The sequence below is a fragment of the Homo sapiens genome, chromosome 1, assembly GCF_000001405.40.
Source record: "Homo sapiens chromosome 1, GRCh38.p14 Primary Assembly".
Taxonomy (NCBI): domain Eukaryota; kingdom Metazoa; phylum Chordata; class Mammalia; order Primates; family Hominidae; genus Homo; species Homo sapiens.
The window spans coordinates 19,975,431-19,987,566 of NC_000001.11; the positions used below are offsets into that span (position 1 = coordinate 19,975,431).

A 12,136-nucleotide genomic window follows, 5' to 3' on the forward strand; every position below is an offset into this window, starting at 1 on the left:
TACATGATTTGCTAATTGCTTTATTCAGAAGAGACCCCCCGGAGTACAGCTTCTTTGGTTAAGCACGGAGTTGAGGTGGAGGAGAGCAGTAGAAGGCTGGAAATCTGCTGGATGTCTCATTCTGGGTGGGTATAGAAGGGCTCCTGCCTGGCCTCTAGGATGGGTGAGGGATGCTTTCTGCATGGCCAAGGAACTTGGTTAGGGTAGGGAGGGAGGGTATGAGAGAGGGAAATTCAGCACTGGGTGGAAGGTTTCCAGGGAAGAGGGGACTCAGCAACGAGGGGTGCTCCCTCTGCAGTGTTTATTGGAATAGTACTGGTACTTTTTATTGTAGGTCGTCTTGTTTCTAGCAAAACAGGTGGCAGCAGCCTTATCACACTCACACAGTTGACTTCTGCAGGAGTCCTGTTTTGCTGAAATCATAAGAAAATAAACACAAGATGGGAGTTTATTAATATTCAGTGGCTTCTTGTGGGAACCCTGGGGTAGAAGACACAGCCCTGTCCTCCAGAAGCTCCTAGTTGGAGACAAACACCTGCGCTCCAGATATTTCTGACCAATGGGGAGACAGAATTCTTGCCCTTGGGATGCTGGCCTCCAGCCTGGTGGAGACACAGCCAGGCACTGGGATACTTTCTCAAAGGCCTTCCTAACAGCCATAATCTCTTCCTCTTGCTAACAGATGTGTCCAGGAGGCAAAGCCCTAGCCTCGGGGGTCTGGGAATAGATTGTGATTGGTGTAAGCCAGGCAGGGTCATCCCTTTTTCCTTTGCAGTGATTGGTCTTTGTGTATCATGTAACCTTGTTCCAACCAATGAGCAACAAGGGGAAGTCTGCTGGGGGCTTCTGGGAACGATCTATTTCCTCCCTCCAAAAAGAGAGATGCCCAAAAGGAAAGCCTCTTCCATAGTATGAGGCCAGGAGGGTGGACCTGCAGCCTGTCTCTTGACATCCCAGGTGTAGACACTGGCCACGTGGCATAGCTGAAGGCCAGGAGAAGGCTGGATTCTTAATGACATGGCTGGAAAGCTGCCCCAAGCCTGGCACTGCACTCTTCCAGAATTCTAGTTATGCGACAGTCACATATCCCCATTATGCAAGCCACTGTCAGCTTGGCATCATGTGGCTTGTGACCTAACGCCTGCTGAAGATACATGCCTCTATGGAGAGGCCATGATGGGAGACATAATTTCTGATCTTAAAGGACTCAGGCCATGGGCAGGAGTCCACGCTTTTTCCAAATCCCACTCATGAGTCAGCTGTCTGGGGACACCAAGCAAAGCCTTCCAGTGCCACCCACCTCTCCTCCCCTTCAGGGCCAAACTTTCTCCAGAATGTTGTCTTTGCCTCCTGTCTTTATTTGCCTTCCCATCAGCCCCCACCTGGTCTAATCTGGCTTTGCCCTCCCGACTCCATGGAAACAGCTTCCCCTGAGTCCCTCATGCGTTTCTGCCTCAACATCCAGGGGAGCCTTGTTGGCCCTTTTCATGGAGGACTCCCTGTTCACTTGGCCCTTGCTAACCATTTCCTTACTGACTCCTTGACCTTCTCGCTCAGTTCCCCTTCTCCCTCTCTGTCCATCCCTTCTCTGTCTCCTTTCTGGGCCTTTAAACAGCAAATGAGTGATCACACCCACCTCTCAGGTCTCTGCTGCTGGCTTCTGAATCTGTGTCCCAGTCCTGAATTCTCCCCTGAGCTGCATTTGTATAGACAGCTGCCTGCTGGACCCCTCCCTGGGTGCTGGAGGCCCCTAAACTCAACATGCTGGAAATAGAACTGCTCCTCCCCACCCTCCACCATGACCTGCTCCCATGGTCTTTATCACAGTTGTGCCATCCATGCAGCCACATATCCATCCAACAACTCCCTCTCCCCATCCCTCCCAACTCAGTCACCAGTTCAGCTGATTCCATCTCAAATGCATCTTGATTTTTTCTCCACCTTTCCCATCCTGACCTCCATTGTTTTATGTCAAGATGTTACTCCCTCTTGCCTGCATGATGGCAATAGCTTTCTCTGCCCCCCTTCCACTTGTCTCCATCGACCCTGTCCCCACAGTGAGTCATCTAAAATGCAAATCTGACCCTGTAGCTCCTTTGCTTAATAGCATCCTATTGCTTTAGGGCAAAACCTAAATACAGCCCGGCCTGGAGGGCCGGATTGACCTAGCTCCTTCCTATGTCTCCAGCATCATGGCTCAGCACTGCTCCTCTTCCTCATGTTTCTGCTGGGCAGTACAGAATGGCTTACAGTGCCCTTTAGTGCCTTTGACCATGCTGTGTCCTCTTCTGGGAATGCTCCCTCCTCTTCCCTGACTCTCTGCACAGCCTTTCAGACTCAGCTTAGGGGTCACCCCTTCCAGGAGCCTTCCTCAAGCCTCAGGCTGTGTTAATGCCTTATCTGTTTGTTTACTTCCCACTGGAGTCTTTACTACATTGGATTTTCACTTTCCTGGCTTCCCACTCAACCGTGAGCTTCCTGAAGCAGGAACTGTGTCCCTCTGTGTCTATCTTTGGTGCCCAGCACAGTCCCCAGCACTGTCTAAACAAATGAGGGCCACTCGATGGTGAGGTAGGACTCTTACCACAGGTGATTCTGCTCCCCGAGTTGCTAAACTTGTAGCTCAGAAATTTGGTGCCACATCCACGTTTCTCCAGACGTTTGTAGCAACAGTCATGAGTGACACAGCAGCTGTGAGGAGACACCCTGTTGGGGCTCTTGTCCCACAGCTCCAGGAGGCCTGGTGCCTGTGGTCTCACCCCCTTGGACCCTGGGCAGAGACCCAGTGACTTTGCAACAGTCTAGAGCAGAAGTTCCAACATGCCGGCTGCTTTTCCAGCCAGGCCATCCTGAGACCTCTGCGCCCATCAGGAACCGGCACTGTCTTTGCAGCTCCCAGCCCTGCCTGGGCCAGAGTCTAGGAGGGTAGGGAGGGATAGGTGGCCTCACCGATCCGTTGCATCCTTGGGGGATCCTCTGCCACCCACGCCACAGTGGCAGCCGTAGAAGCCATAACTGAGTGCGGCTTCCTTTCCTGTCGTCAACTTGATCATTCTGTGGAAATTCACCAAATTCCCATGGGCCTGCAGTAGGCCTGGAAGGAAATTTGGGAGTTGTCTGGTGATGGGGCATGGGGTTCTGCGCCCTCCCTCTCTGCCCCTCTCTGCTACTCTCCTTCCTCCCAAATGGCTTCTTTTTTCCCCCTGAGAGAGGATCACTGCAATGGGAGAGAAAACTAAGGGACAAGAGTGCTTCCCTTCTGGGGCTGTCCCCCCATGCTCAGAGGTCAGGGTCAGCTCTTACCAAAGATCATGATCACTGCCAACAGTAGGAGGGTCTTCATGGTAAGAGTTCTTGGGTGACAAATGCAGATGGACTGGCCTAGCTCCTCTGCTGGGTGGTCTCAACTTCTGCCCCGGCCGTCGCTCCCCTGCTCCTCCTTGGTGGCTCTGAGACACACAGACATGCTCTCCCATCCAACCTAAGTCCAGGGTGACTTCCTCTGTCACACTCAGAGCACACAAGGAGTGCCCTCCAGCAATGCACACACACACACACACACACACACACAACCACCTCCTGACCCGTTCCCAGCTCTGCAGAATGGTTTCACACACATCAGGCCCTCAGACCTGTGGAGAACCCCATGATACACTAATGAGACCTCCCCTGTACCTCATCAGACTGAGAGTTCTTGGGAGGTTGGAACCAGGTTCCTCCCAACTACCTGGGAGGTTCCTGAGGTCAGAGGATGTGTCCCTCGCTAGACATAGCTTGCATATCCCCACACTGGATTCAAGGCTTGGAGTCTCCAAGGCACCCATGGAGGCTCGGCCTCAGTATTTTCCTCCAGAATGAAAGCATCAACCTCTCTCTTCTAGGCCTTCTAACCCCTTCCACATACACAAGTTCCCAAACACATACATGTTAACACACCTATGCCCACATACACACACTCTCGTACTTACCTGATAGTGCCAACATCCTCTCTTACACTACACTCACATACTCACTCAACACACTCATGCACACACACCCTCTCATACATATCAAATCATGCACATGCATGCACAACACAGCCACTCTCAAAGGCAGCGAATGAGCAGGAATTCTGCTCTTGACAGGACATCAGCTTCGCTGGCTCTTTACCTCTCAGAGGACTCCAGAGTTGTATCCCCAGGCCGTCTTGTTTGTTCTGCACTCCTGCTCCCCTTAAATAGCTGCTCCCTCTGGGAGGTTGGGGGTAGGTGAGGCACAAGGCTGGGGATGGGCGTGGTCAGTTGGTGGACTCAGGATTGGTCGCCCATACCCCTAGGTAATCCCTTTCCTTCCCCTCATCAGCTGGCAGGACAGAGTTGAGGATTGGGAAACCTTACGTGTCAGTAGCTGATGCCAAAACACATTTCAGGCAGTTTTGCAGTCTTTCCATGGAGTAAATTCCCATAACCAGCTCTGGGTGTGATCAACGGTCAGCCACCTCCCTGCAATCGCCTCTAAGGGGGGCAGAGACTGTCTGCTGTTGCAGGCTGTGGACTCATTTGCACACCCAAAGGGACTACCAATTGCTGAGCAAGGATTGCTCCCTTCTGCTCAATGTGGCATTTGGGAATAGAAAAGAGGGCTTTTAGTGGTACTCATTCATTCAGCCGCTCAATCATTCATTCACAGGAAGTATGTCCTGGGCCTCTACCATGTTCCAGCACCTGTGCAGGCCTCACGTGTGCACCCCACAGTCCACCAGGGAGAGAGTTTAATGGGGGTGGATTTCCCTTCCCACTAACTTGGGCCAGGGCCTCAACTTTCTCTTCTTATTCTTCTTTCTTCTTTTCCTCCACCCCTGTCTCATATGAGCTTCTAAACCTGGAAAAAGCCAGAGGCTATCCTTGAAGTTCCCACCAAAGCACTGCCTTCACTTTATTCCCCATCCTCACCTGTTTGGAGACAGGGCAGGTGAATGCTCCCTGGATCTGTTGCTCTTTTTCCTTCAGCCTTCGGGCTGACACTGACTCCAGCTTTAATTCATAAAGTAAATATCTTTTTCATTGCTCTCCAGCACATGCTAAGAATTTAGCTTCCACCGCCTTAAGTAAACACTCTGCGATACCAGTCCTAAAAAAGTCACTGTGGCAGGGGCTGTGGTGCTTGTGAACATTCCATCTGTTCCCTACACTCTAGAGCCCCTTGCAGGGATGGAGACCTAGGGCCCTGCTGCTGACTGGTAAAACATGAGCACTGGTATGAAGGGTCACTTCCAGGTTTCTCCAGCAAGGGGACTATGAGATGCAACTCCCCAGCCCTTCCCTGCCCCACTGGTAGAACCAGAAGATGAAAGCAATCTGGGGTGTAAGAATCATGGCACGGAAGACAGTTGTCCTAGAAAGTCCTGCAGCTCACAGGGGTCTTAGTGTGAGTGAGAAATAGACTTTTGTTGTATTAAGCTGATGATAATTGAGATGGGCAGTTGCTGGAGCATAACCTAATCTATCCCAAGAGCCATCAAACAGCTTTCCTCTCGAGAATACCATTTACCTCCAGTGCTCGACTGTGTAAGGGGTTGGACTGTGGTCCTCCTTCCTGCTCTCAGTTCCTGTGTTGGAGTCCCGGTACCTTAGAATGTGATCTTATTTAAAAATAGGGTCATTGCAGATATAATTAGTTAAGAGGAGATCACTAGGGCAGCTAGGATGGGCCCTAATCCAAGATGACAGATGTCATTACAAAAATGGGAAATTTGGAGACAGGCAGGCACACTGGGAGAAGGCCATACAAAGATGAAGGCAGAGATCAGGGTGAAGCTTCTACAAGCCAAGGAATGGCAAAGATTACCAGAAAACACTGGAAGCTAGGAGAGAGGGATGGAGCAGATTCTCCCTCACAGCCCTCAGAAGGAATCAACCCTGTTGGGCCCTTTGATTTCTGCCACTGGAACTGTTAGACAATAAAATGTCTGTTGTGTAAGCCACAAAGTACCTAATACAAAGCCGAAGCAAACTAACACAACCTCCAGGGATCTCTGTTGGCTTCCTTCACTCTTCTTATTCTGGGTTGCCAGTCCTATAGCAGTTGGCTTTATGGCCACGTCAGGGTTCAGAGGTCTCAACCCCCCGGGGTAGACCACTGCCTTTGTTAAACATTGCACTTTCGGAAACAGTAGTTCCTCCAATAGGCAGAACCGCCTCCCTCTCTGTATATCTGGATAGCCCTGGTCCAGGCTTCAGTTGAAAGAAATACTCCAACGCTCAAGGACTCTGGTGACGTCGGATAGAGCCTCTCCTTTTCCCATCATTTCAGGCTGTTTTACAGGAATTCAAAGTCCATGAATTGGCCTCTTGTTCATCTTCCATCCCAGACCTAATCCAAGCCCTTGGACTCAGTAAGCCAAACAGAAACCTCTACTTTCACAGGGCTTCCGCTTAAGCAGAAAGAGACAGACAATCAGCAAAAGACATACTAGTAAATGACATCATGTGATAGGTGGTGACACTGCAATGGGGAGAGAGGCAGTAGGTGACAGGGCAGGAGCACCGTCATCTCGGACAAACACCACCACTTTAAGTTCCAGCTCCCTTTCTAGCCTCATGCATTTCAAGGAAATCATTTCTCTTCTCACTACAAACAGCCAGAAAGAGTAGACAGTAAAACACAGATAAAACACAGATAAAACACAGATAAGACAGCTCGGGCAGAGAGGGAGGTGTTCGGAAAGTTTCTCTGGCAACTGCCAAACTTCACCCTCATAAAATGGGCCCCAGTAAAACAGTGAGCCTTAATAAGCACATTCTTTTCCCTTCAGGTGCACTAAGATAGGAAAGCTAAAAGCAGACTTGGGGAGTATGCCTGAGGCTGCAGAAAGATGTATGGGAACAGACACAGAAACTCTCCCTTCCAGATAGGCACAACAAAAAGACACAGAAGCAGTCCAAGCCTCTGTTAAACTCTCCCACCCTGAATCCTTAAAAACTCTTAGTCTGTAAGTGTGTGCCTCTGACCTAACTCAGACAGCTGCCCCTCTCTAAAATAAACCTGTCCTTGACTGCCAAGCCAGCTTTCATGTTTCTTTCCTCTTTCCTTAATTCTTACAGTAGGGATGGAGGAGGGGTATCTGGAGTAGGAGGATGGCAATTTTACATAAGATTGGAGTGCTCAAAGAGAGGTGCTTTGAGCTTAGTCAGTGCTCAGAACACTTTCCTTGCATTATTAATAACTAAAAGAATCAGCATATTGACAAGTTTTTTTCTTTTGCCAAATCAATATCTGCATAAGCAGGTTTTTTTTGTTGTTGTTGTTTTCGTTTTTTTTTTTTTTTTGAGACGGAGTCTCGCTTTGTCGCCAGGCTGGAGTGCAGTTGTGAGATCTCGGCTCACTGCAACCTCCGCCTCCCAGGTTCAAGAGATTCTCCTGCCTCAGCCTCCGGAGTAGCTGGGACTACAGGCATGTGCCACCACGCCCAGCTAATTTTTGAATTTTTAGTAGAGGCGGGGTTTCACCATGTGGGCCAGGATGGTCTCGATCTCCTGACCTCATGATCTGCCCACCTGGGACTCCCAAAGTGCTGGGATTACAGGCGTGAGCCACCAAGCCTGGCCAGCAGTTGTTTTTAATTGCAGGATTACGGTTGAAATTTTTCTGCTACTGTTTCCTAATGTTCCTTTGTGAACATACATTAAAAATTTTTTTGAGATAAATTTTTACTTACAGAAAAAAATTGCAAAAGTGGAATTTTTACTTACAGAAAAAATGCCCTTCACCCAGGTTCCCTAATGTTAACATCTTCCATAGCCATTGTACAATCATGGAAACCAGGAAATTCATGTTATTAACTAATCTACAGGCATTATTTTAATTTCACCAGTTTTCCTACTCATGTCTTTTTTCTTCCAGGCTCTCACATTGCATGTAGTTTTCATATCTCCTTAGTTTTTGCTAATCTGTGACATCTCCATACTTTTCTTGGCCTTTTATGACTGTGATACTGTTAGATAGTACTGGTCAAGCTTTTGTAGAATGTCATCCATTTTGGGTTTGTCCGATACACTCTCATGATCAGATTGAGGTTATGTATTTTTAGCAAGAATGTTACAAAGTGATATGGTGTCCTTCTCGATGATATTGGTATATCTCACTACTACTCATGTTAATTTTGATCACTGGTTAAGATGGTGTCTGACGGGTTTCTCCACTGTAAAGTTACTATTTTTCCTTTTGTAATTAATAAATATGTTGTGGGGAGATACTTTGAGATGGTTCAAATGTCCCTTTTCTCACCATACTGTGACCGGAATTGGTGGGTTCTTGGTCTCACTGACTTCAAGAATGAAGCCGCGGTCCCTCACAGTGAGTGTTACAGTTCTTAAAGGCGGCGTGTCCGGAGTTTGTTCCTTCTGATGTTCAGATGTGTTTGGAGTTTCTTCCTTCTGGTGGGTTCGTGGTCTCACTGGCTCAGGAGTGAAGCTGCCGACCTTTGCGGTGAGTCTTACATCTCATAAAAGCAGTGTAGACCCAAAGAGGGAGCTGCACCAAGATTTATTGCAAAGAGCAAAAGAACAAAGCCTCCATGCTCTGGAAGGGGACCAGAGCCGGTTGCCACTCCTGGCTCCGCAGCCTCCTTTTATTCCCTTATCTGGCCCCACCCACATCCTGCTGATTGGTCCGTTTTACAGAGAGCTGATTGGTCTGTTTTACAGAGAGCTGATTGGTCCGTTTTGACAGGGTGCTGATTGGTGCATTTACAATCTCTGAGCTAGACACAAAAGTTCTCCACTTCCCCACTAGATTAGCTAGATACAGTGGACACAAAGGTTCTCCAAGTCCCCACCAGAGTAGGTAGATACAGAGTGTCGATTCGTGCATTCACAAACCCTGAGCTAGACACAGGGTGTTGATTGGTGTGTTTACAAACCTTGAGCTAGATACGGAGTGCCGATTCGTGTATTTACAATCCCTTAGCTAGACATAAAGGTTCTCCAAGTCCCCACCAGACTCAGGAGCCCAGCCAGCTTCACCCAGTGGATCCCGCACCTGCCGCAGGTGGAGCTGCCTGCAAGTGCTGCGCTGTGTGCCACACTCCTCAGCCCTTGGGTGGTCAATGGGACTGGGCGCCATGGAGCAGGGGATGGCGCTCGTGGGGGAGGCTCGGGCCGCGCAGGAGCCCACGGCGGCGGAGAGGGGAGGCTCAGGCATGGCCGGCTGTAGGTCCCCAGCCCTGCCCCTCGGGGAGGCAGCTAAGGCCCGGCAAGAAGTCGAGCACAGCAGCTGCTGGCCCAGGTGCTAAGCCCCTCACTGCCTGGGGCCGGCAGGGCAGGCTGGCCTCTCCGAGTGCAGGGCCCACTGAGCCCACGCCCACCCGGAACTTGCGCTGGCCTGCAAGCGCTGCGCGCAGCCCTGGTTCCTGCCCGCGCCCCTCCCTCCACACCTCGCCGCAAGCTGAGGGAGCAGGATCCAGCCTCTGCCAGCCCAGGAAGGGGCTCCCACGGTGCAGTGGTGGGCTGAAGGGCTCCTCAAGTGCTGCCAAAGTGGGAGCCCAGGCAGAGGAGGCGCCGAGAGCAAGCGAGGGCTGCAAGGGCTGCCAGCAGGGTGTCACCTCTCAATACCTCCTTCCACTCACTAATTGTAGCCATTTCAGCATCAATCAAAAGTTCTTGGCTGTAGCAATTATTACTGGTGTTTTCCTGGTTTCCTCATTCTTTTTATATGAAGAATTTGAATTCTACTGTGGGCAAAACTTTTCCTTCTAGTTGTGTATTCAACCATTTATATTAGTAGGGGCTTATTTTCTATGCTATTTATTTTCTAACTCAAATTGTTCCATCTTGGCCATGAAGAGTTCCTTTAAGTTTACACCTATGTTGTCTTAACATGTTCTCATCTTTTTTTTTTTTTTTTTTAATGAGATAGAGTCTTGCTCTGTTGCCCAGGCAGTTGGAGTTCAGTGGCGTGATCTCAGCTCACTGCAGCCTCCACCTCCTGGGTTCAAGCAATGCTCGTGCCTCAGCCTCCGGAATAGCTGGGACTACAGGCATGTGTCACCATGCTCGGCTGATTTTTTGTATTTTTATTAGAGAAGAGGTTTTGCCATATTGCCCAGGCTGGTCTCAATCTCCTGAGCTCAGGCAAAAACACTTCCTTTCTTGCACCACAAGATCTTCAAACTTATTATTATTATTATTTTTTGAGACAGAGTATCACCCTTTCGCCCAGGCCAGAGTGCAGTGGTGCCATCTGGGCTCACTGCAAGCTCCGCCTCCTGGGTTCACACCATTCTCCTGCCTCAGCCTCCTGAGTAGCTGGGACTACAGGTGCCCGCCACCACACTCGGCTAATTTTTTGTATTTTTAGTAGAGACGGGGTTTCACCATGTTAGCCAGGATGATCTCGATCTCCTGACCTCGTGATCCACCCACCTCAGCTTCCCAAAGAGCTGGGATTACAGGCGTGAGCCACTGTGCGTGGCCCCGATACCTCCAATTATTTTTTTGGAAAAAAGTTCAAAACCATATAGGTAATTATAACCTTCCCCATTTCTTATTTATTATTTTATTTTTTATTTTTATTTTTTGAGATGGAGTCTCGTTCTGTCGCCCAGGCTGGAGTGCAGTGGCGCCATCTCGGCTCACTGCAAGCTCCATCTCCCGGGTTCACGCCATTCTCCTGCCTCAGCCTCCAGAGTAGCTGGGACTACAGGCGCCTGCCACCATGCCTGGCTAATGTTTTGTATTTTTAGTAGAGGCGGAGTTTCACCATGTTAGCCAATCTCCTGACCTCGTGATCTGCCCACCTCAGCCTCCAAAAGTGCTAGGATTACAGGCATGAGCCACCACGCCCAGCCTCCCCCTTCCTTATTTATAACTCCTTTCTCTGACAAGTTTATTTTTCACAATATATTTACTTATTTGTTCAATTATAGTACAATTGAAGTAGCTTCAGAATTATTAATCCATAACTGTGAGAAATAAATTTACTAACTACAGTACTGTATTTGTGTATAGTTATTTGTATCTTTAGCTTTGTGGTATACCATCAAAATACTGTTTTCTGAAGTTACATAGGTTATCTCTTTTCTTGCAGCCTACCTTAAGAGTGGTTATTATATTGATTTGTCATATAGTTATAAATATATTTGTTATCATTTGTATTCCATTTTGGGCTCTACCTTTTTCCTGGTTGATTTTAATTATTTATTGCTTTTGAGGGTATGTGAAGCCTTCCCATGTGAAACAAGGTGAAAGCCATACTAAAAAGTATACTCAGAGGTGTTGCTTCTCACTCATGCCTACTATCTTCTCATTTTCCTCTTTTTCCCACCTCATTCTCTCCCCATGGCCCGTAGGTAACTGTGTTAGTTATCTGTTGCTGCGTAATAAGTTATCACAAACTTAGCAGCTTAAAACAACATAGGTTTCTGGCTGGGTGCAGTGGCTCATGCCTGTAATCTCAGCACTTTGGCAGGCTGAGGCGGGTGGATCACCTGAGGTCAGGAGTTCGAGACCAGCCTGACCAACATGGAGAAACCCTGTCTCTACTAAAAATACAAAATTAGCCGGGTGTGGTGGCACATGCCTGTAATCCCAGCTACTCGGGAGGCTGAGGCAGGAGAATCACTTGGACCCAGGAGGCGGAGGTTGCCATGAGCCGAGATCGCGCCATTGCACTCTAGCCTGGGCAACAAGAGTGAAACTCCGTCTCAAAAAACAAACAAACAAACAACATAGGTTTCTTATCTCATAAGACTGCAAACAAGTTGTTTGGCTTGTGTTCCTATGTAAAGATCATACCCCTCTGCTTGGTCCGCCCCCATGCTCCTCCATGGCCTCAGCTCCTAGACTTCCTCTCCATAGGCAGTTACAACATGGCAGCTCCCTTCTTCAAGGCCACCAGGAGAATCACTCACTCCAATCTGCTAAGACTGAAATCTTCCATAATGTAGCCTCATCAAGGGTCTGACTACCCCACATCCTTTGCTGTATTCTGTTAGTTAGAAGCAATTCACAGGTTCTTTGGGAAAGGATTATACAAAGGTAAACTCACTGGAGGTCATTCTAGGGTATGTTTATCATAGTAGCCAATCTCATTCGTTTTTGGTTGATTCTTCCTGAATCTTTTGCATAAATGTGTAGGTATATGTTTATTTTCTTTTAGA

General features: G+C 48.7%; 1 protein-coding gene across 8 annotated transcripts, besides 1 other annotated feature; it reads right to left on the reverse strand.

Moving 5' to 3' along the window:
* On the reverse strand, positions 1–5,004 carry PLA2G2A (phospholipase A2 group IIA). 8 transcript variants are annotated; one of them, XM_047422594.1, is made up of 7 exons: positions 4,932–5,004; positions 4,377–4,493; positions 4,150–4,260; positions 3,304–3,449; positions 2,950–3,094; positions 2,585–2,691; positions 1–413 (listed from the first exon to the last, which is right to left on the reverse strand). In XM_047422594.1, the coding sequence occupies exons 4-7, from the start codon at positions 3,341–3,343 to the stop codon at positions 271–273; spliced, it is 435 nt and encodes a 144-aa protein (XP_047278550.1). In that variant the 5' UTR covers positions 3,344–3,449; positions 4,150–4,260; positions 4,377–4,493; positions 4,932–5,004; the 3' UTR covers positions 1–270. The 8 variants fall into 8 exon arrangements, with proteins under 8 accessions (XP_047278550.1, XP_047278549.1, XP_047278551.1 ...); XM_047422593.1 differs by lacking the exon at positions 4,377–4,493 and having other exon boundaries at positions 3,304–3,481; positions 4,150–4,341; NM_001161727.2 differs by lacking the exon at positions 4,377–4,493 and having other exon boundaries at positions 5–413; positions 4,150–4,229.
* Positions 2,832–3,331: an enhancer, noted in NCBI's record as "H3K4me1 hESC enhancer chr1:20304755-20305254 (GRCh37/hg19 assembly coordinates)". NCBI's record gives its function as "activates a minimal SCP1, AML or CMV promoter by ChIP-STARR-seq in naive H9 embryonic stem cells {active_cell/tissue: H9 hESC(naive)}" and the evidence as "EXISTENCE:reporter gene assay evidence [ECO:0000049][PMID:30033119]".